At 39.5% G+C, this 24,565-nt stretch overlaps 1 protein-coding gene across 6 annotated transcripts in view; it reads right to left on the bottom strand.

Moving 5' to 3' along the window:
* The window catches only part of FHIT (fragile histidine triad diadenosine triphosphatase), a 1,504,176-nt gene that overhangs the window by 773,965 nt on the left and 705,646 nt on the right, over window positions 1-24,565 (bottom strand). For all 6 annotated transcript variants that reach the window (NM_001354589.2, NM_001354590.2, NM_001166243.3 and 3 more), the window contains one exon: window positions 15,619-15,738. In NM_001354589.2, coding sequence (NP_001341518.1) covers window positions 15,619-15,721 — 103 coding nt within the window. In that variant the 5' untranslated portion in view covers window positions 15,722-15,738. The remainder of the gene's footprint in view (window positions 1-15,618; window positions 15,739-24,565) is intronic.

Below are 24,565 nucleotides of genomic sequence, written 5' to 3' on the forward strand. Positions count from 1 at the left end.
AAATAAGTATTATTATTATTTTTTGAGGCGGAGGCTTGCTCTGTCTCCCAGGCTGGAGTGCAATGGCATGATCTCGGCTCACTGCAAGCTCCGCCTCCCAGATTCACGCCATTCTCCTGCCTCAACCTCCCGAGTAGCTGGGACTACAGGCGCCCGCCACCACACCCAGCTAATTTTTTGTATTTTTAGTAGAGACGGGGTTTCACCGTGTTAGCCAGGATGGTCTCGATCTGCTGACTTCGTGATCCGCCCACCTCGGCCTCCCAAAGTGCTGGGATTACAGGCATGAGCCACTGTGCCCGGCCAAAAGTTATAATTATTATACCATGCTTCCAATATGCCAAATTTATTCATTCTTCTGACTTCCATATCACCTTGTTTTAATTCTCTCACAAGAGCCCAGGAGGCAGGCAAATACCTGTTTTCATAGCAGAAAATACCTTTATCTTCACATGAGCAAATCAAACAAAAAAGAATAAATGACCTAAGTTTCCCCATATGGGACTAAAATACATTTCTCCAATTCCCTGTCCAAAGCTCATTTGCAGTTTTGACAAGTACAAATGTTTTGTACCCAAAGACAGTAAATGAGGCAGTAGAGCCATTGGCAGGCAGAGCTCTTTCTTCTCCCATGTACATTCAACAATACCAGAAACAGGACTGAGAGAGCCTTGTAACCATCATTTCCATGGTTTGAGTTTTGTGGTAGGGTCAGGGAAGGCCTCTGTGTGTAAGTGATGACAAGGGAACAGGAATTGAAAGGAGGAAAACCAGGGACCCTGTGTAGGTCAGAGGGTGGCAGGTGAAGGTCAGAGGAATGTCAGATTTTACTTTAAGTGAAAGAAACAGCAACAGCAACCAGAAGTTTTTTTTTTTTTTTTTTCTGACACAGAGTCTTGCTCTGTTGCCTAGGCTGGTTGTGCAGTGGCACGATCTGAGCTCACTGCAACTTCTGCCCCCCTGAGTTCAAGCAATTATCGTGTCTCAGCCTCCTGAGAAGCTGGGATTAAAAGTGCCCACCAGCACACCTGGCTAAGTTTTGCATTTTTAGTAGATACAGGGTTTCACCATGTTGGCCAGGCTGGTTTCGAACTCCTGACCTCAAGTGATCACCTGCCTCAGCCTCCCAAAGTGTTGGGATTACAGGCATGAGTCACTATGCCCAGCCAGAAACAACCATAATTTCTTAATGCAAAGGAACAACCTGTTCTTGTTTCTGTATTTTTAAAAATCTATGTCAGCTACATAGTGGTAGACTGGAGGATGGATAGTGGTAGACTGGAGTTGCGGGAGTGATAAACAAGGAAACCTGAGAGCTCACTGCACCCAGTTCAGACAAGATTTGGCAGGAGTAGTAGAGATGTTGAGTACCAGACTCAGAACATATTTTTGAGAAACAGCCTCCATGTGCATTGGAAGGATGTTTTGAGAATGCTGTCAATTACATATTCTGGCATCATCTCCTTGAGGAAGAATTCACAGAAAATCGCCTGATCTCTGGTGTTGTGCACATTTCTGCATTTTTCTGAACAATCAGCCTATTTTTACCTCAAGAATTGATGCTCTTTCCTTATTTAGGTTGGTGATAGAAAGTTCAGGGCCAACTTTGTGACCCATCTGTTTTTGTTGGTTTTCAGGCTGCTAAAGACACACCCAAGACTGGGTAATTTATAAAGAAAAAGAGGTTTAATAGACTCATAGTTCCACGTGGCTGGGGAGGCCTCACAATCATGGCAGAAGTCAAAAGGCACATCTTACACGGCAGCAGGCAAAAGGAAAAATGAGAGCCAAGTGAAAGGGGAAACTCCTTATAAAAACAGCAAATCTCGTGAGACTTATTCATTACCACAAGAACAGTATGGGGGAAACCATCCCTGTGATTCAATTATCTCCCACGGGCTCCCTCCCATAACACGTGGGAATTATGGGAGCTATAATTCAATATGAGATTTGGGTGGGCACACAGCCAAACCATATCACTATCTCTAGCAAGTATATAAATATTTTATATCTATTTGATGCACTAATCTCACTTTTGGTCCATCTTACTTTCCTTTTACTACTTCTTGAATTTTGTAGTTTGCTTTTTTTTAAAGCACTTAAATCTTACTCTACTTTTTCATAGTCACCTTAAATCATGTTTTAAAAATTCTAGGAAATAAATGAATAAACAAACTAAAATTGTCTAATGGAAATTTCCTTGATTATTATAGAAATAATAAATCAGAAGAAGGTTTCATCAAAGGGATCATCAGAAAGAAATAGAGATCTACAAAAGGGCATGTTATGTAAGGCAACCTGTATGCATGGGAAGCCAAGATGATAAAGCCATAAAAACTTGACTAAACTGAAGAAATTGCTTACAGAGCTGCTCCAGACTTCCTGAGGAAGGCAAGACAGTGGCATATACAATCTTGGGAAATCAAATCTCATGAGCCGACGAGTTATCAAACCCTTCTGTTAGATTTCTCTCAGCTGAGGAAATAACTGATTTCATCAGCCTGGCTGGAATCCACATGGAAATCTATGAAACCTGTGCTGGGCATGGGAGGGGTTGAGTATTTTTCATGCTCAAACCACCTGTTACTTCTCTCTCTTTCAAAGCAGGCCACTTTGGAATGATGAATATTAGTTATGTCTCCAAGCATGTGTTCATGTGTGTTAGGTACATAGAAATCCTGGTTGACACTATGTTAACCATTGCAGTATACTGCCTGGTGTGAGAACTTACCACATTATTCTACTTGTTAAATGAGGACCGTTGTCCTCTTTTATCTTTAGAGCTAAAAAGCCAACATGGTCAACCAGGGTCACTCATCTAGCAAATATTCATTTAACAAATATTTACTGAACACCTCCTATGAGCCTGGCCCTGCCCAGGCAGAGGAGATGCATTCATGAATAAACCTGAGAATCATCCCTGCCCTCAGAGAGCTCACATTCTAGTCAGCCTGAGACACACACACACACACACACACACACACACACACACACACACACACACACAAATAAATTATATAATAATTTAGTGTATAAACACTACAAAGGAACGTCATGTGGTAGGGGTGCAATTTTAAGATAATGGGAAAGACTATTCTGTGACATTTGAGCACAATCTAAATAGAGGTCTGAAGGAGTTGAGTGAACATAGCATATGTACATCTGGGGAATTGGCATTCCACGAAGAATAAACAGCTGCTGGTTCAAGGGCTATGAGGCAGCAGTGTGCTTAGAATGTTAAACAAACAACAAGGAATCTAGTGTGGTTGGATCTGAGCGAATGTGGGGAGCTTTGAAAGTTGTATGTAGCTGCTGTAACAAATTACCATAAATTGGTGGCTGAAAACAATAGCCATTGATGCTGTCATGGTTTTGGAGGCCAGCGTGGCATCCAGGTGTCAGCAGGGCCACGCTCCCTCTTTGCTGCTCCAGCTTCTGATGGCTGTCAGCATTCCTTGACTTGTGACCACATCACTCCAGTCTGCCTTCACGATCATGTTGTGTCCTCCTTTTCTCCATGTAATCTCCCTGTCTCACTCTTATAAGGACACTGCCATTGGATGTAGGATTTGCCTGGCTGATCCAGGATAATCTCCCCACCTCAAGGTGAGATACTTAACTCACACATCCACAAAGACCCCTTTCCTAATAAGGTACCATTCACAGGTTTCAAGGATTGAGATATGGACATCTCTTTTGAGGGATCCCCATTCAACTCACTACAGGAAAAATGGTAATAGATGAAATCAGAGGGGCAATGGTTGATGGCAGGGGGTGGATGGAGGAGTACAAGTAGGAACCTTGTCAATCACTGTGATAACTTTGGCTTTAGTTAGAAGAAGGTAGGAAGCCACTGTGGGGATAATGAGAGAAGTGACATAGATTCAACAAGTCTTAACAGGATCACTCCGGCTGCTGCCATGCAAAAAAGTTCCAATAGCATTTAATCCTTACATTGATACTTTGTTGGCTTAAGAGCATGCCAAATTTAGATTAGAAATGAAAATGAGAAGAACCTGATATACAGATCTTCAGAAAATATTTAATAATTAAAAGAATATTCCTCTACCTAACCATCCTGTTTTGAACCAAAATTAAATTTATCCCATAAATATTTATCAACCATCTAATATACACAAGATTCTGACTCTAAGAATTGAAGGGATCACACCCTACCTAATGTGGTATTGACTGACAACCCCTTTTTTTTAAGATTTATGTCATCTCTTTGTGTAAACAATAATTGAAGAATCTCAACTTAGTGGGAGAAAGACGTGCTACCATTATATTCTTTGCCATTACTTTTCCAGCCACCCTATGTTGAATCCCTTTCTGGCTCTTTAATAATATCTTGGGCAGAACGTATAACTATGTAGTCACTTTCCATAATTGTAAATCTCTCCATTTTAAAATTCTAGTCTTGGTTCTTTTAAAATTTTATATCCTATCAAGCACAGACTTGAGATGCAACTTTTATTACTTAGAGCTCTCTACAAGTGTTCCCCCATAGTGAGGCTAAGCTATGCTAGCGTTAAAGGCAGAGTGGTCTTAGGTATCAGGTTGCCTGTCAACAGGTGACAGGTGGCCAGGTGTGGTGGCACATGCCTGTAATTCCAGCACTTTGGGAGGCTGAGGTAGATTGCTTGAGCTCAGGAGTTTGAGATCAGCCTGAGCAACATGGTGAAACCTTGTCTCTACAAAAAATGCAAAAATTAGCTGGGCGTGGTGGCCCACACCTGTAGTCCCAGCTGTTCAGGAGGCTGAGGTGAGAAGATCACTTGAGTCCTGGAGCTCAAGGCTGCAGTGAGTCAAGGTTGTACCACTGCACTATAGCTTGGATGACAGAGTGAGACCCTGTCTCAAAAACAAAAACACAAAATGAAACACACAACACATACACACACACACACACACACACACACAAACAGGTGACAGGTAAGTGTCCCTGGTCTAGCTCCAGTTCCATCTGCTGGGAGCCTCTGCAAATACGGTAGTCTGCACTGGTGAATTAACAGACATGTTTTTTCCAGGAAGGTAGTAAAGTCTCGCCCCCGTTTGTTTCTGAGGATCCATTTACAAAAGGACAGCCATGTCTCCCTTTTAGGTCTGCCGGTGTTCCATGACCCAATCCCCTCTCTGGAGAGGCCAGCACCTCAGTTGGCCCAGCATCTACCTGAGCAACCTAGTGGTGCCTGCCTCCTACTCGGACATTCATGGTCATTTACAGGAACCGGGGGACCTGCTGAGGTTGGTGCTTCTGGGCTTCTTCAAAGGGCTACCGAAAAGGTGAAATAGTGTAGAAAAGTTGTTCTCATCTTTTTTCCCAGGAACACTACTCCTCTTCAGTGACTTCTTGCTCTGCTACTACAGGCCTCTCCAACAAGCCTCCCCTGCCCCACCCTACATTCAAGAATGCAAAGATGAGAAGCAAGCACTCTTGTGTGCTCATGTACAATTCCAAACTCCACAGAGCACATGGGAAGCTCTCCAAAAGCAATTGTACCTCCCTGCACTCCCAGATCATGACAGTACCTGTGTCAGCCTGCAGGTCCTACAGCTTCGTAGCATCAAGCCAAAGAACAAGATGCCAGTGTCATTTTGTGGAAAGCATCCCCCAAGAGATGTGACTTTTGAGGCAGTGGGAGTAATTATTCCAGAAGAGGGAAGAAGAAAGCATCCCTACACTCCTCATTTCAACTGTCGATCTTTGTCCTCACGTATCCTCTCCCTTTGCGGTTTGGGGGCGTGGAGGTATGTTTCAGTGAGGTAGGAATGGTTCTGCTGCTGCCTCTCAGTAATGTGGATGTGGGGAGCATCTGTCCCCACATGTCAGCATTCCTGCTTAGGCCTTAGCTGTTTATTCCGCGGAAATATGAAAAGTTTCACTCAACATCTGCTGCACTCCTGAACTTCAATTACATTACTGCAGATATGACTCCCTGAGAGATGGCTTCTAGAGTCATTTGGTCCCTAAACAGAATAGAAAATACTAACTGGTATTCTAGGCCTCTGCATGTGAAACACTCTAGATTTTCATGTAATTCCTGTTGATTTATTTTTATCTTGACACATCTTATTTAACAACTATTAAAGCAATCATCTTTGGTGAATGGAAGGGTATCATGGCTAACTTTTAAAGTATTAGCACGTAAATCTCTTGAACTGAAAATTAATCTTAAAGATAAAAAGAAGTTCTTGATAACTTCAGGCATTTCAAAACCTATCAGAAAGGAGAAAAATTGGAGAGCCAGATGAATTTAGCTCCTCCTGGACCCATTTTATCTCAGAGCAAATTATGCGGCTAACCAAGCTAAACTGCCTGGCCCCATATAGATGGCAGTGGAGAGTAAGGCTTAAACCTTCTAGACTTTCAGAAGTCACTAAGGTTGGTCTTATTCTTAAATGATAATGAAGCTTACAATAAAATAATAAAGCCACTAACAGCAAAATGCCCATAAAAATATAAATGGCAGAGTAAAGATTTAGGAAAATACAACACTAGAAAGTGGGGCTAATGGGAAAGGTTTAAACTCTAGGGAGAAGAACTTCTCAGGACACCCACCCCACCGTACATAGAAGTTTGCAGCACATGTGAAATGTAACTGGAGAAGGTGAAATGAACAATGGAATGAGAATCAAAAGTCCTGGGTAAAGCCCAGACTCCCATGAACTAGAGCCACCATTGGTCTGTGCCTCAGCTTTTCCATTCAAACCACTCATAGGCCAATGAGGATAGAACAATTTTTGTTTCAGAAAGGTTCTTGCTCTGCAGCCCAGGCTAGAGTGCAGAGGTGCAATCACAGCTTACTATAACCTTGAACTCCTGGGCTAAAGCAATCCTCCTACCTCAGCCTCCCTAGTAGTTAGGACTACAGATGCATGCCATCACACCTAGCCAATAAACTTTTCTTGTAGAAAAGGGTCTAGCTATGCTGCCTAGGCTGGTCTGAAACTCCTGGTCTCAAGTGATCCCCCTGCTTCAGCCTCCCAAAACTCTGGGATTACAGGTGTGCACCACTGTGCCTGTGTGAAACAAAATATTGACTCCAATAATGCATTGTTAGTCATAAAATATAATTTTAATTATTTAAAATTATCTTAATGTAAGATATTAGTTATATGTATATAAATATACTCTCCACTGCCACAGTTACCCCAAACACATATACAAAAGGAAAAGAAAGGAAGGAAGGAAAAAAGGAAGGAAGGAAGGAAGGAAATTGCCTCAGTATCCCCCATGCTACAAGTAAGCTTTCCCTTAAACCACTATTAGGAGGCTAAGTTCAGTGTGAGGAAGATGACCATTTGATACGAAGAAAGAGTTCTGTTGGTCTTAATTAATCAGCTAACCTACAACTATGCTTGACTTAATTGGTCTTGAAGAACAAAGAACATGCTTGGTCTTAGGAATATAAAGGAGCTTCTTCCATCTGTTTTTCTCCCTCTAAAATCTCCCTCTAAAATCTACTGAGACCATGTGCATTGGCATGTCTATTCCTGTTATTACAATATTGAAATACACAAGTATTACTTATTACCCTTGCGTGCTGCTCACCACCTCTTTTCTTCCTCCCCTGGGACTCTCCAGACCTCCCCACAATGCACAAATTAATAGGCTGATGTCTGGCACAGTAGAGAGCTTTCAGGAACCACCTTTGACATTGGTCAGTACCACCTGTCATACTAATTGTTACACATAAACATAACTCCACTGCCTAAGACATATCCACCCATATCCTGACCCCCAAATGCAGGCAGATACAAGCTAAACCAAGGCTCCTGAAATATATTTAAAGCCTGTAGTAGAAATCTCACAAAGATAGTTTAGATTGCAAACTACTTCAGATATCTGGTATTGTAGAGGTTTTTAAGGATAAGTCCAATGTAGGATTTGTGCCCAGAAGCTATTTGCAAATTTATGGTTATTTTTTCAGTTAATTAGTTTGAGAAAGGAAATGGCAGCTAAGTAAATAAATTAGATCATTAATTTGCAATAAATATAAATTAATTATGCTAATTCTAAGAGTTGAACACATATACGTATTTTGTATATATAATAAAAATAAGGAACATACATAAGACTATTAGGAGAGGAAAGCTACCTTGACTGTTGTAAAAAAATCCACGTATATGTACTCAGTAGATTTTAACAGTTTTGATATGTGCATGAAATATAAAAGAATAAGTAACTACCTACTGATGTTCAAACAAACCTATTTTCATTCCAAATGGAAATTAGAATATATTCTGCATTATTTGAGTTAATTACATGACACTTCTTATAAATAATGATGTATTATTATTCCATTCATTACTTCTAATTATATTCCTTAGCAAGTGCGATGCCTGCAACACCATGACCAGTCTTTTCCTGTTCCTTAAAATCTGATGACTTGCATGGAAAGCAGGTCAAAAATATGCCCAGAATATAACGAACAGAGTTCAGTGATTGTTAACCATGACAGTTTAAAACTACTTGAAAAAGTTACTGTGGAAATAAATAGAAATGGTGAACAGCTTTCCAAATTACAGGATACCCATGATAGCAACATAAGAAATATTTGAAGTGTTGTCTAGATACATATAATTATCATTCTACCATTCACTAGAATTGGAGAAAGAACACCCCTAATATCCCTCTCCCCCAGCATACATACACATTAACAGAATTACATTCTGTGTAGATCCGCAGATCGTAAAGATACACATTTCTGGTTGCAAAAGTGACTCTACAGCCTTTATGCAATTCTGAGAAATGTACCTGCTAAAAGTCCTAATCAAAATGACAGTTGAATTTTTCTCCTGTAATGCATAATCAGGTCAGGCCAGCCCACCCCATCCCATGCACAGCACGGTCTGGGGCTAGAAGGTAAAACATAGTATGGAAGACAGGTCAAGATCAAGGAAAGACAGTTAAAACTATCATTAAGCAACAGGGACCTAGTAACCCACAAGGCTACTTTGTACATACATATCCTCACCAGAGAGCAGGCAGCAAGGAGCCAGAAGAGTCAAGGAAGAGAAGGCAGATAGCAGGAAGTAGTCTAGATGAGGTCTAGAGACCAACATGTACATGCCTCAGGAACAGTGTTTCGTGGGTATGTCACCTTCATTTTGAAGGGGCCAGGGCAAAGTGCACAAAGTCCACACATTTTTCTTCATCCAATTTCAAACCTTCCTTGCACACATACAAAGTACCTACTTAATTCCTTCAGCATCAGCTTCCAACAATCCATTGTTCTGTCTATGATAAAAAATAAAGATGTCAGTCTCGGCTCCAGAAACAAAAAATAAACTTGGGAGAGGAAGAGACTAGCAAGGAGGGCTTCCCCTTCCCCTCTAGTGCCCATCACAGTTACTGCCTTCTGACCCCACGTGCAGCCTGAGTCCTCAACCTTGGCAGCTCACTACCAACTGATCAGCTGGTATGTGAGATAAAATGAATTTGTTTTCTGCATTGTAATTCTTTAGATGGCAAGTCAAGATGGATGATGGTCACAGCAAGTTTGTCTTACAATGGGAGTTGGCAGGATTCTCTGTGGTGGATTTTAGACACTGAAAAAAGATGTTGGTCAACTTTGAATGATGACAGCATCCAATAACTTCCTTTGTTCCCATTGTCCAGTGCTATCAGAAGCTGCTTGTAGCTGGTGGCCATGTACTCTAATAACCCAAGGGTAGGTGCACATTCATATGGAAACCTTTCCCACAGAAGTAGGAAAAAGAAAGGTCCAACTTAACAGTCACTGCTAAATGCATGTCTTTGAACACAATAATCTGCCAAATGAAGTCAAGAAAGAAATGTGACCACAAGAAAACCAACTTGCCCCACTACAATGGACAGCAATATTGTCTTTGAACATTTCTCCTCCAAAAGCTCTTAAGCTGGCTAATATACAACAAGCATGCACAGAGCAAAGACAAGACATGTGCTTAGGGAAATTTTAAGAGCAAAAACCTATCTTTAGCTATAAAGATATTAAAATAGTGCTTGTGCTCATTTTACTTGTACAGGAAGGTTTGAAAAGAACTCTTTTTTTTTTTTTTTTTTTTTTGAGACGGAGTCTCGCTCTGTCGCCCAGGCTGGAGTGCAGTGGTGCGATCTAGGCTCACTGCAAGCTCCGCCTCCCGGGTTCACGCCATTCTCCTGCCTCAGCCTCCCGAGTAGCTGGGACTACAGGCGCCCGCTACCACGCCCGGCTAATTTTTTGTATTTTTAGTAGAGACGGGGTTTCACCGTGTTAGCCAGGATGGTCTCGATCTCCTGACCTCGTGATCCGCCCGCCTCGGCCTCCCAAAGTGCTGGGATTACAGGCGTGAGCCACCGCGCCCGGCCGAAAAGAAACTCTTTAGAGAAATGAAAGATCACTAATAACTGCAGTTTCCTGAACAATTAAAGGAATTCACAAGATTACAACCTACTGAGGAAATGACAAATATTTCTGATTTTTATGGAAGGACTAAAAGGGCGCTTTTATGTATAGCATCTATTCTGTAAGAATCACTGTTAAGTAATGAAGCTATTTTTATTATTTTTCCACTTATTTCAGGAACACTCAACATGGTAACGGTCTGAAAACGGGGGAAACTTAACATTGCTCTTTGGAAAGTTAATATTCCGTATTAAAAGATATTTGTCAGAGTTTTCTTTTTTACCTTTTGAATTTGGATCTTGGAGCACTGTTTGCATGGTAGCCAACTTTTTATTTCTAATGTGTCAGCAGAAATGTTCTTAAAGTTACCTAGTCTAATTCTCTCACAAATATACTTTGTAAGGCTGTCCCTACATGCATCATCCTAATGTTGTATGGCCCTGGTAACATTCTGCGTGAGATGGTCTTGATTGGAAAAATCTGCTCTTTTTAATAACTGATTCAATAAACTGTTGACGTATGATTTGTAGAATACAGTATGATCAGTGAGCAAGGTTTCTGTCATTACACACCCTATTCAATTCATCCACAAATGTTGCTGTGTCTCCCTCATGTTGCAGCTCCTTATGCCATTCAGAATAGCAATGCAGAGATCAATACACTCTCTGCTGAAGACGACAGAACAAATGAATAATTTTATTTACAATGAAAGCCCCAGTCTTCAAATGGATACCACTAATGTTTAAATTCATTTTCATGCTCAACTCAAGAAGAGAGATAGACACAGCACAAAGCAAAGGGAGTGGGGGTAAGGAGAAGTATTAGCCATAATGGTTCAAATTTATTTAAGCCATGAACAATAGCTGGGCTGCACTGAGACACAGGAATAAAATGTTTGCTGCAGAATTCTGAATGTGTACTCTTCAAAATGATTCTGTCACCAAGAAACTCTGAAAAGCATTTTCCAGTAACAAGAAATTAATGGATTAAAGACATTCTGACATATTCTTCTAAGCGTTGCACCACAGAAGCCAAAGCCTGTTCAATAGGCTTTAAACAGTGTTGGCAAGGAACAGAAGCGTTTGCTTCAGGTGGGAACAAGGAGGGACTGAAGTGGCTGTTTTGAGAATGAAGCAAACGATCCTGCTTCAAAAGCGTATCTTTGGCCTCTGATTTGACAGTTCTTTTTCTTTCTCTGAAAGCTATGAAAAAGTCAGTGAGCAAAGTCATAAGAAATAAGTGTTGGTGAGGGGCAGCAAAATGTTATAAGAGAGACAAGTTCAAAGATGACATTTACAAGCCTCTCATGAATGGCACACTCCCCAAAGGGCACCTGAATGCCATTTTTAAGAAGAAGTCATCAAACATACAAAATAAAATGTTCCATTTTACATAAAGATGCCAATATACTGCCCTTAAAACACAGATTGGTCCATTCACAAATTAACATGTAAAGAAATGGCAAAGAACCTTCTCCCATCTGCCATCAATTCATTCACTGCTTTTAGATTTAACTCCCTACACTCACACGCTTGTAAACAGAATTGTAATGGACAAAGGATGAAGGGGAAGCTGGGAAAACCTAGCTTGGACATGATACTGAAACATCTGGAAAAAAGTGGTGACAAGACTTGGCCTTGGGGATGGGAAACGGGAAAAGGTGGGATTTCGGCACATCCTGTCTCTCTATTCTGTTAACTGGAACAATGCATATACTCCTGATGTTTCCAGCTTCACTTTAGATTCAGTGAACACAGTACATTTGGATGCTAAGAAAAAAGAGATGTGCAAGAGCAGGTCTCGTCCATAGGAAGCAAAGACTCAGTGCAGACAGAAATAGGGATGCACGTACTTTGGATATGAGGCAGACTGGGCTGTGTGTTTGGTCTTGGTACCTGGAACAGAGTATGAGCTCAGTAATAAAGTACTGAATGAATCAACATGAGAATAAGGAAGTGAGTGTCACAAACAGAGGACAGAGTTTTGTTTTGTTTTCTTCCCTAGGAGCAGGGGACAGTTATCAAAGCACTTCAGATGAAATGAAAAGCATGGGGAGGAATCTCCAGTTGAGGTGAGGGGCAGGAGAAAGTATAGTAAAGGGATAGTACAACACATATTCAGGGAACAGCCGGAAAGAAGGGAGACTGAGCCAGTACAATGAAGGTCCTTAAAAACTATTCTAAGGAATTTGGACTTTATCCTCAAAAAACAGACATTCCTTATTGGTTTATTAACAAGGGAAGAGAAGAATGATATGGTCAGGGCTGTGGTTCAGATAAAGTTATAGGCTACATTGGAAAAGCCCAGAGGCAGGGAGACAGCATAAATCTAGATGAACCACACCTAAGGGCTAGACTAGGGCAGGCAGGAGAGAACACTGGAGGAAGATAAAAGCCCACTCCAGACATCTCACCATTTATTTATGAAATGTTAGTGGACAGAGCTATCCACATCTTCCATTCTCAAGTCTCAGGACAAAAGACTAGAGCTTTCTGCAAGCAAAGGAGTACCTTATTAAGATGCGTCTCCCAGGCCGGGCGCGGTGGCTCACGCCTGTAATCCCAGCACTTTGGGAGGCCGAGGCGGGTGGATCATGAGGTCAGGAGATCGAGACCATCCTGGCTAACAAGGTGAAACCCCGTCTCTACTAAAAATACAAAAAAAAAAAATTAGCCGGGCGCGGTGGCGGGCGCCTGTAGTCCCAGCTACTCGGGAGGCTGAGGCAGGAGAATGGCGTGAACCCGGGAAGCGGAGCTTGCAGTGAGCCGAGATTGCGCCACTGCAGTCCGCAGTCCGGCCTGGGCGACAGAGCGAGACTCCGTCTCAAAAAAAAAAAAAAAAAAAAAAAAGATGCGTCTCCCAGTTGTAACATGGCAGAGTTTATAAAGGTAAAGTAAAATAAAAAGTTACAAAATCATCACATAAAAAGCATTGTCTGAATACACTGTCTACTGGCCCTGAGACTGTTTTAAATACTGCAGCTGTTAATTAGACTTATAGAGTATAATGATTTTAAAAAAGCTCTGGTTCTCATTGTTCTTATAATCAGAGAGGGTTGGATCCTTCTTGCTACCTTCCAAACAAACTGAAGTGTGTTAATTTTAATAAAATATTCTCCGAGCCCTTGGTATTTACTCAAATATAAAGTAACTGAGCAGGGTTCATTTCCCAAATGGTGACACCAGTGCCATCTACAAAGAAACGAGTTGTCATTCACTACTTGCTCACTATTCACTACAGATATTTTCCTAGACATAGACATTTCTACTTTTCTTGAGTTCAAACTCAGGTATGCCCTGGTTTTAGACATCACTTTTTCTGAGTTTGTTAAAAAGTCTGAAATATCAAATTACTCTCAAGATATGAGTAAAAAAACTACAAAGCAGAGTTCATTCCATTATTAACCATTTTAAAAAGTGGCCAACATGGCAAAACCCCGTCTCTACTAAAAATACAAAAATTAGCTCAGTGTGGTAGTGCCTGCCTGTGGTCCCAGCTACTTGGGAGGCTGTGGCACAAGAATCGGTTGAACCCGGGAGGCAGAGATTGTACTGAGCCAAGATTGTGCCACTGCAACTTAGCCTGGGCTACAGAGTGAGACTCTGCCTCAAAAGGAACAACAACAAAAAAAAGTGGTACATCTCTGTGACCTCTAATTTTCATAGGAATGAGAGTGAATTTAGACAAATGGATCTTGTCTAAATTCATATTTTCATCCCAGGTCCCTTTATTTCTTTTCTAAAAGTCAGTTAAAGCTGGCACCTAGAGAGAGATGGCATTTAAACCATATTCTTTTAACACCTGAATTTACAGACATTTTGCTTTAAAAAACCCCAAAGGAAAAAGCCCACTACAAACTTATAGCAAAATAAAATGTTACTTCAAGAAATTCAGGTCTTTTAAAAGATTTCAATACACAATTGGTATTAAAATTAAAAGTGCTGTTTTCTAGGGCTTTTCTAAATCATTCTAGTGTTTTTTTTTAATAAACAGAAGAAAATAGTTTTCTAATATTATTTAGACTCATTTAAAAGAAGAGTTTTAAATATTAAGAAAAGCTTACATATTTACTAGAGTATTGCTTATTAGTTTTCTAAATTAATACAATTTATTTGACTAGAATTTGGATTCCAGAAATTTGGGAGTCTATAATACAATCACAATTATCTTTTGGTACATGTTTTTCTTATTTGTATTTTTTTTTTTTTTAGCATACAATAGTTACGTGGCTAGAAAAGAAGCTTGTTCATAAAGTTCTCAGGCACTTTCCACATTTTCACTGGAAAAAAAATGTAGCTTACTCTGAAAAACCTCTTGGCATATTTGTACATTCAGAATTACTAAGAAATTCATTTCAAAGCAAAATCATGTCTCAGCGTGGAAAATACTTATTATCTGAAAATATCAAATTTTATTCTGTTGCCTTCTGCATGGCAAACTAAGTGAAGGAGGAAAGAGAAAAACATCCTGAAGAGTCCGTACAAAATTCATATGCACACAATCAGGAGTGAAACTTTTAACAACATAAAGATAACTTCCCAAGCATTTCACCAATACTTGTTATTCCCACTGCAAAAGAATAAAGCTCCTATTGAAGTCTATAGGAGGAAAGACTACAACTCAGTGGTCAGAGGGAAATAAAACAACTCCACCAATGACACTGGTCAATGATCTGCAAGCTGGTATTTTTCCCAAGAGAAAATGCTATTTCAGGTCCTAATATTTTTTAAAAAAAATTTGTAAGTATATCTATAATATAAATTTAATTAAAACGCACAACTTGAATGATCTCCAAGAGGTAAAGCAACAAAGTCAGTCTCAAATCCTCACATATCTTACTTCCACATCACAAAGGCACCACTCAATCTACTATTAAAATTCACAACAGATAAGCTGAAAACCAAGTGCCCGTGATATTCACTGGGCTCATTTTAGAAGCACCTATTTATTTACTCAGCTATGGTAGTGAAAAGGTCAAGCAAAAATTCACCTCCAAAGCCACGGTTGCTAAGCAACTCTCCTCAGAAGTTCTGCAACATTGATCAAGCATATTACTGGTGCCACCAACTGGATTCAGAATAAATATGAGTAACATCTTACCTGGTGTCTCCGAAGTGGGAGGGAGATGGATTCTTTATTTACCTTTTTGGACAGACTGGAGGCCAATCTTGTATTTATATTCATTTGGCTGGTTAGGCTCAGAAGACTTTTATTTTCCCTCTCCAAAAAAAAAAAGAAAGGATACGTCCTGGTACCACAGGTTTCCTATTCACAAGAGCGAAGGACAGTTCTGTTTTGAGAAACACTACAGAGGGCTTGATGAGATGTTGGCCAAATCTGAACGACATGTCCTCACAGTTGAAGTCTAAAAGAAAAGACAATGGATAGTTATAAAATTCAATTAAGAAACTCAGTTCATATACCACCTTAAAGAAAGCAAATTCCATTACTACAGATTCTTAGTTGCAGAGAGGATGCCATTGAAATTGTTCCTCATTGAATGTTCACCAAGATGCATTCTGGGAAAGTCTTTCTAAAATACTCCACTCTCCCTACCAGTGTTTCCTTGATTAGAGTTAGCAATTTTCAAGCAGAAGCTTCCACGTGGACAATAAAACAGCTTTTCCCCTTCACTCCCTCTGCACTTCACGGTGCCACCTTAACTCAAATCCACAAGGCCCTATTTGTCAGCTACTTATTTTTACCCATCTATTTTGTCATGTCTGCTAAGCTGAAAATTTTCATTAAGTATTAACTATAAACCTTCTAATTCTTAAATGCTTCTCTCAAATGGTTTTGTGTTCATATAATAGCAATTTAGAACAAGTACGAACACTGTCTGACCTTGCCTACAATTACAAAAACATGAGCACTTCCAGAGAACTATTCTAGTAAAATCTCCAAAATAAAGGAGAAAAAAAACATTTAAAAAGAAGGAAGGAGCAAAACGGAGTTCAAAACTAGAACAATTCCTGGTTGTAACAGGGCCACAAAGCAGCAAGGTACCTGAAATGTTCTGCGTCTTCCTTTTGAGGGAAAGCCATGGGGGGCCGGGGGCAGGAAAGGGAGGCTGAAGGGAATTTGGCAAATGGCACAGCTGAGACAAGCCAAATCCATCTAGCACCAAGGAATGACTTTTCAATCAGGTGGATGCCAATACATGACAAAGTTACTTTGTGAATGACTAAGACACACTTTGTGAATGACTAAGAAACACCATCCCTAGAAAACTACTTCATTTTTCTAATTCGGGAACAGCCTAGTATGAAACTGAGGAACATGGATCAATCTACAGAAAAACAGAGAAAGGATTACAAAAAGGATGAAATTAGAAAATAGTTGGCTATTTGTGATATGCATTTGGTTTTCAACCCCATTTCCTGGCACGCAACTCCTAAAATCCTTAGAAACTCCAAAGTGATGTCTTTTTGTATGCTAATGATTGACTGGTGTCTAGCAGCCTCTAAGAGTCTAGGTAGCTTCAGGATGGGGTTGATCACAAGAAGGACCAAGCACACTTATACACCAATAACAGACAACAGAGAGCAAACTCATGAGTGAACTCCCATTCACAATTGCTTCAAAGAGAATAAAATACCTAGGAATCTAACTTATAAGGGATGTGAAGGACCTCTTCAAGGAGAACTACAAACCACTGCTCAACGAAATAAAAGAGGACACAAACAAATGGAAGAACATTCTATGCTCATGGATAGGAAGAACCAGTATTGAGAAAATGGCCATACTGTCCAAGGTAATTTATAGATTCAATGCCATCCCCATCAAGATACCAATTACTTTCTTCACAGAATTGGAAAAAAACTACTCTAAAGTTCATATGGAACCAAAAAAGAACCTGCATTGCCAAGTCAATCCTAAGCCAAAAGAACAAAGCTGGAGGCATCATGCTACCTGACTTCAAACTATACTACAAGGCTACAGTAACCAAAACAGCATGGTACTGGTACCAAAACAGAGATATAGACCAATGGAACAGAACAGAGCCCTCAGAAATAATGCCACACATCTACAACTATCTGATCTTTGACAAACCTGACAAAAACAAGAAATGGGGAAAGGATTCCTTATTTAACAAATGGTACTGGGAAAACTGGCTAGCCCTATGTAGAAAGCAGAAATTGGATCCCTTCCTTACACCTTATACAAAAAGTAATTCAAGATGGATTAAAGACTTAAATGTTAGACCAAAAACCATAAAAACCCTAGAAGAAAACCTAGGCAATACCATTCAGGACATAGGCATGGGCAAGGACTTCATGTCTAAAACACCAAAAGCAATGGCAACAAAAGCCAAAATTGACAAATGGGTTCTAATTAAACTAAAGAGCTTCTGCACAGCAAAAGAATCTACCATCAGAGTGAACAGGCAACCTACAGAATGGGAGAAAATTTTTGCAATCTACTCATCTGACAAAGGGCTAATATCCAGAATCTACAAAGAACTCAAACAAATTTACAAGAAAAAAACAAACAACCCCATCAACAAGTGGGCGAAAGATATGAACAGACAGTTCTCAAAAGAAGACATTTATGCAGCCAACAGACACATGAAAAAATGCTCATCATCAATGGCCATCAGAGAAAATGCAAATCAAAACCACAATGAGATACAATCTCACACCAGCTAGAATGGCGATCAGTAAAAAGTCAGGAAACAACAGGTGCTGGAGAGGATGTGGAGAAACAGGAACACTTTTACACTGTTGCTGGGACTGTAAACTAGTTCAACCATTGTGGAAGACAGTGTGGTGATTCCTCAGGGATCTAGAACTAGAAATACCATTTGACCCAGCCATCCCATTACTGGGTATATACCCAAAGGATTATAAATCATGCTGCTATAAAGACACATGCACACATATGTTTATTGCGGCACTATTCACAATAGCAAAGACTTGGAACCAACCCAAATGTCCAACAGTGATAGACTAGATTAAGGAAAATGTAGCACATATACGTGGAATACTATGCAGCCATAAAAAAGGATGAGTTCATGTCCTTTGTAGGGACATGGATGAAGCTGGAAACCATCATTCTCAGCAAACTATCACAAGGACAAAAAACCAAACACTGCATGTTCTCACTTATAGGTGGGAATTGAACAATGAGAACACTTGGACACAGGAAGGGGAACATCACACACTGGGGCCTGTTGTGGGGTGGGGCGAGGGTGGAGGGATAGCATTAGGAGATATACCTAACGTGAATGACAAGTTAATGGGTGCAGCACACCAACATGGTACATGTATACATATGTAACAAACCTGCATGTTGTGCACATGTACCCTAGAACTTAAAGTATAATAAAAATATATATATATAAATAAAATAAAATAAATTAAATTAAAATAAAAAAGAAGAACCAAAGCAGGATTATAGGGCCAGAACATTCAGCCCCACTCCTCAATCTCCCAGGAAGAGAGAGGGGCTGAAGGTGAAGTTGATCACCAATGGTCAACAGTTTAATCGGTCATGTTTACATAATGAAGCCTCTGTAAAAACCCAGAAGAACAGGTTTAGGGAGCTTCTGGATAGCTGAACACGCAGAAGTTCCTGAAGGATGGCTCGCCCTGGGAGAGCATGGAAGTTCCATGCTCTTTCCCCCATACCTCACCTTATGCATCTTTTCATCAGTATCCTTTGTAATATTTGCTGTGATAAACTGGTAAACTTAAGTATTTCCCTGAATTCTTTGAGTTGTTCAAGCAAATTGATTGAACTCAAAGAAGGGACCATGGGGTCCCTGATTTATAGTCAGTTGGAAGTTCCAGAGGCCCAGACTTGCAACTGGTGTCTGAAAGTCAGGTGACAGTCTCATGGCATTGAGCCCTCAACCTGTGGAATCTGAGGCTATCTCCAGGTACGTAACATCCAAATTCTTCTGAAATGAATCAAAGGACATCCAGCTGGTGTCCGCTGCTTTGTGTGTTGGGGGGAAAGAAACCCCACACATTTGGTCACAGTAGTAGTCTTTGCTGATTGTTGTTGCTGGTGTGAAAGCAGAAGAAAAACATGTTGAGTGTATTTTTTTCCTTATTTTATATAGCACATGAATAATGCATGATTGTTTAATGATTCTAATATTCTCAATGACACAGAAGACAGAGAGCTGTGCAAATGTCACTTACTATGGACACACCCACATAGCCAGAACTGTACACATTTCAGGTACTAAAGAAATAAGATAGGAAGGTTTGCCCCAGTGGTACAAGATAATGGTTTTTAGAACATTTACAACCAGCTCATTAAAAACCCAACAGTTCTCAAGGTGACGTCCCTCCACAATAGCATCAGCATCACTTGGGAACTTATTAGAAATGCAAATTTTGAGGCCCCACCCCAGACCTACTGAACCAGAAACTCTGGGACAAGGGCCCAGCAATCAAGGCTTCCATAGCTGTCCAGGTGTTTCAGAACCACTGACCAAACCCAACTATCCTCCCAATCCCTGGGCCTTTTCCTACAGAATTCCTGCCAAATGGCTGCCTAGCATATGCTTGAATATGTCCAGTGATGGGAAGTTCATCACACATTCCTCCTAAGACAGTCAACTCTACAAATAACATAGTTGCTCTTTATACCAAGTCCATCTGTTTTTCATGACTTTATTCCTTGGGATCATATAAAACAAGTATCATGCAAGTGGCAGTGCTTCAGATATTTGGAGTTAGCTATTTTTCATTTTTTCTTGTTTTTCAAGAATAAAGATGGCAAATCACATCCACCATTCTACAAACAGCATTGATTCAAGTGACCTGTGATTATTTCCCTCCCCAGAATCTACTTCCTTAGAGTCTTAGCTGTACCACTTTGATTTTTTGCTTTTAGTAACACCCCACCATATTCTACATGTGGGGCTATTCGTACTACCTGGTTCTAGGGATGGGCAAGTGACCCAGGCACCCATAGTCCTTTGACATATGATTGGTTCGGGAGTGGACACAGGACACAAAATGAGCCAATCAAAGGCAAGGACATCCTTCAGAGTAATACTGCTATTAGTAACAATGCCACTTTCTTTCAACTGAGTTGCCAAACTGGTAGACTATGAACCTGAAACAGCTACGAGTTTTCCTAAAAAAGAGCTGGCTTGATGTGAGAGCCAATACTGAGGCAAAGACAGTGAAGACACAGAGACCCATACCTGATGACACTGTCTGAGCACATGGATCTAACATTGCCAGAAGAAGTCATGTACCAGAAGTTTCTTTCAGGATAATGGAATAGAATTGACTTAGCACAGGCTCTACTTGATGAGCTACTATTATCATGAGCCCATGAAAGGCTCTTCTTTTTCTTTTCACTTTTCCAATCATTTTCCTTTTTGTCCTCTGTGTTCAGTCCCATTCCCTCCCTTCCCACCACAGAAATTCACTTTTTCATAATTAATGTATTATTCAGAATCCTCTTTACATGTTTGTGTACATACATTTTTTGTCAAAAATACACAGGGCCCTTATACATAATTTTTAAATTTGTATATAAATTGTAGGTTTTAAATCCCATTCTTCTGTATTCTCTCAACATTGTTTTAGAAATTTATCCATGTTGCCATAAACAATTCCTTCACTGCATTCCACTGTAGTATTCCTTGCCCATTCCTCTAGTGCTGTAGAGCTAGCTTGATTACAACCTTTTACCACAAGTTACACTGTGACTACCATTCTTACACGTTTCCCTGGATTCCTATCTTAGCATCCCATTGTTGGGATTCAGGTCAGATACTTACTTAGATTTTCTAAAATATATGCACCAGCTTGCACGCCCAGCAGCAATACATTAGGATTTCTATTTTCCTACATCCTTACCAGCACTTGATAGTACTTCCTGCTTTCCAAGTTTTTAATTATTGAATGGTAAAATGGCGTCTCTTCCTTTTACTTCATTTGTCTCTAATAGTGTGATGTGTGTGTATATGCATGTTTCTCTTCTTATGAATTGCCAATTCATATACTTTGTCCTCTTTCATATTGCTTTCCTCCCTTCAATTTTCTAATTTTGTAGAGTCCCTTGTATATTCTAAATATTGATCATGGTCTATTAAACACAATAATTATATTTTCACCATCTATTAATTTCTCTATCGTTCCCTCCATTGAACAGAAATCATTCATTTTGATGTATTCCAAGTCCATCAATTTTCTTTTTATAGTTTGTGCTCTGCAAATCTCTCCGAACAAATCCCTCTCTACCATAAGTTTGCAAATATATATATTCCTATATTTTCTTCTATCGACTTTATATTTTCATCCTTAACATTTAGGTATTTATTCCACTTGGAACTTTGTTTATAGTATGAAATACAGAAACGGCTTCATTTTTCTTTTTGTGAGCCAATTTTCCTAGTACCAATTCCTGGGAATGATTACAGTAAGTTCCCATATATACACAGGAATAAGTCTAGACTCCTTTCTATTCTGCTTCAGAGCCAGACGCTGTAGAACAAAGGTCGCACATTTTTGCACATTTTTTTTTTCTGTAAAGGACCAGACACAGCAGGCCACACAATGTCTGTTGCAATTACTCAACTTTGTCATGGCAGCATGAAAGCAGTATGAGTAGGCGTGGCTGTGCCCCAGTAAAACTTTATTTGAATAAACAGGCAGCAGCCCAGATTTGGTTTATAGGGGGAGTTTGCCAGCTCCTGCTGTATCTTGTTAATGTCTAAAGAAAAACAGAGATCCTCTTTCTGTATTTATTATCCCATATAAATTTTAGCCTCCACTCTGCCCCTTTCAAAAAAAAATTCTTAGATGTTGATTAGACTGAATTTAAATTGTAAGATGGGTGAGGGGAATGTGACATCTTCAAAATATTCAACGAAGCCATTTATGAATGCTGCATTTATGCTCTTTAATACCATAATAAAACTCTTGTAATAGAGTTTTAAATTTCCCTTATATGTTTTATGCATTCTATCTTAGATTTATTCCTAGATAGCTTTTAGTTTATGTCACTATTATAAATGGTATCTTATTATTGTCATAGTTTATAATTAGTTACTCCCAATACAGCAGAAAGCTATTGATTTTTCTACGTTCTTATAGCTGGCAATCTAGCTGAACTCTTGCATTGCTTCTAATGGTTTCTGCTGATTCTCTTTTTTGTTGTTGTTTTGTTTTGTTTTCAGACAGAGTTTCGCTCTGTCACCCAGGCTGGAGTGCAGCGGCGCAATCTCGGCTCACTGTAAGCTCCGCTTCCCAGGTTCAAGGGATTCTCCTGCCTCAGCCTCCAGAGTAGCTGGGACTACAAGCGCCCGCACCACGCCCGGCTTTTTTTTTTTTTTTTTTTTTTTTGTATTTTTAGTAGAGACAGGGTTTCACTGTGTTAGCCAGGATAGTCTTGATCTCCTGACCTCATGATCCACCCATCTTGGCTTCTCAAAGTGCTGGGATTACAGGCATGAGCCACCGCGCCCGGACTTCTCTTTGTTTTTATATATATGATTTCACTTAGAAATAATGATAATCATATCTTTCATGGCAATTTTCCTACTTTCATGTTTCTTTGTCATACTGCATTGGTCAGCTATGTGGTAATGTATTGAGAAGCAGAAGTAACACAGGGATCCTTTTCTTGTTCCTGACCTTAAGAGGGCTGAGTTTAAACTTCTTTTTTTTTGTATTATGAATGATGTCTACTCTAGGTTTTTAATATGAAGCCTTTAATCAAGCTAAAAATATCCCTTCTATTTCAAGTTTTCTAAGGGTTGATACCTTTTTTTAAAAAAAATTGGTTTTATGAAATGCTTTTCCTATATCACTGATGACACAATTGCTTGTTCCGTGCCATTAATGTGGCAAACTACATTAGCAAATTTAAAAATAATAATTCACTATTCTTTCCCTATTATGATTAATTCAACTCCGTCACAAGGTATTATTTTTTAATATACTGCTAGATTTGAATTCTTAGCCTTTTGAATGTCATAAGTGAAGTTGGCCAATAATTTCTCAACCTATTTTTTTTTTTTTTTTTTTGAGACAGAGTCTCACTCTGTTTTCCAGGCTGGACACAGTGGCACGATCTGGGCTCACTGCAAACTCCGCCTCCCCGGTTCAAGCGATTCTCCTGCCTCAGCCTCCCAAGTAGCTGGGATTGCAGGCACCCACCACCACACTCAGCTAAGTTTTGTATTTTTAGTAGAGACAGTGTTTTACCACATTGGCCAGGCTGGTCTCGAACTCCTAACCTCAAGTAATCCACCTGCCTCAGCCTCCCAAAGTGCTGGGATTACAAGCATGAGCCACTGTGCTCAGCCAACTTATCTAGTTTTTGTTATCAAGATTAAACATAATAGTTTGGTTTTTCTTTTTTGTTCCAAAGAGAGTTTATTAAACGAGCATTTTCTGTTTCATGAGCGTTAAACAAAACTCTTTTGTCAAACTGTGTCTTTTTCTCCTGTGCCAGAAAGGACTAAGTTTTGACAATCATTACAATTTATTGTTTTCTGATTTACTAAAGATTTTTTTTTTCTTGTATCAATTTCTTAGCCATATATCCTTTTCACATAATACTGGTAAAAACTTATATTCTTTTTACTGGATTTAAAAATATAATCTGTAATTATCTCTTTTACCTATTTCGTATTGTGTTTATCATGGTACATGGAGATGTTTTTTCTTCATCTGTTATTCAAAAGTAAGATCTATCCTATGAAGTTTTTTAAATAATGAACTTCTGGTTCTTTGGCTTTTATGAATTATTTTTACTTTATTACCACATTTGTATTTATTTCCTCTGATTTGTTTTCCTTTATTGTTTCTTTGGATTTACTATGTTGCAGTTTTTCTAGTTACTTGAGTCAAACCTTGGGCTTATAGGATTCCAGACTTAGTGTTTTTCTCTTGGGTAACAAAAGCTATATATTGCCGTGAAAGTATTCCATTAGCTCTATCTCTCACCTACTGTGCTTTTATTATCACTCCGCTCTAAAACTTTGCTATTCTTGTTATTATTTCCTATTTAACCTGAGGGTTATTTCATAGTATGTCTTTTCATATCCAGATATATAGGATGTTTTTGCTATCTTTTTGTTAACAGTGTCTGATTTTATAGCACTGTTGTTAAGAGAACCTCTAAGCTGTTGATTTTTTAGAATTTGAGGCTTCCTGACTCATTGAAAGTTGAAGCTTGTGTCTAATCCACATGCCCTCTGAAATAAAGTATGC

This window comes from Homo sapiens, chromosome 3 (genome assembly GCF_000001405.40).
Source record: "Homo sapiens chromosome 3, GRCh38.p14 Primary Assembly".
Lineage (NCBI taxonomy): Eukaryota > Metazoa > Chordata > Mammalia > Primates > Hominidae > Homo > Homo sapiens.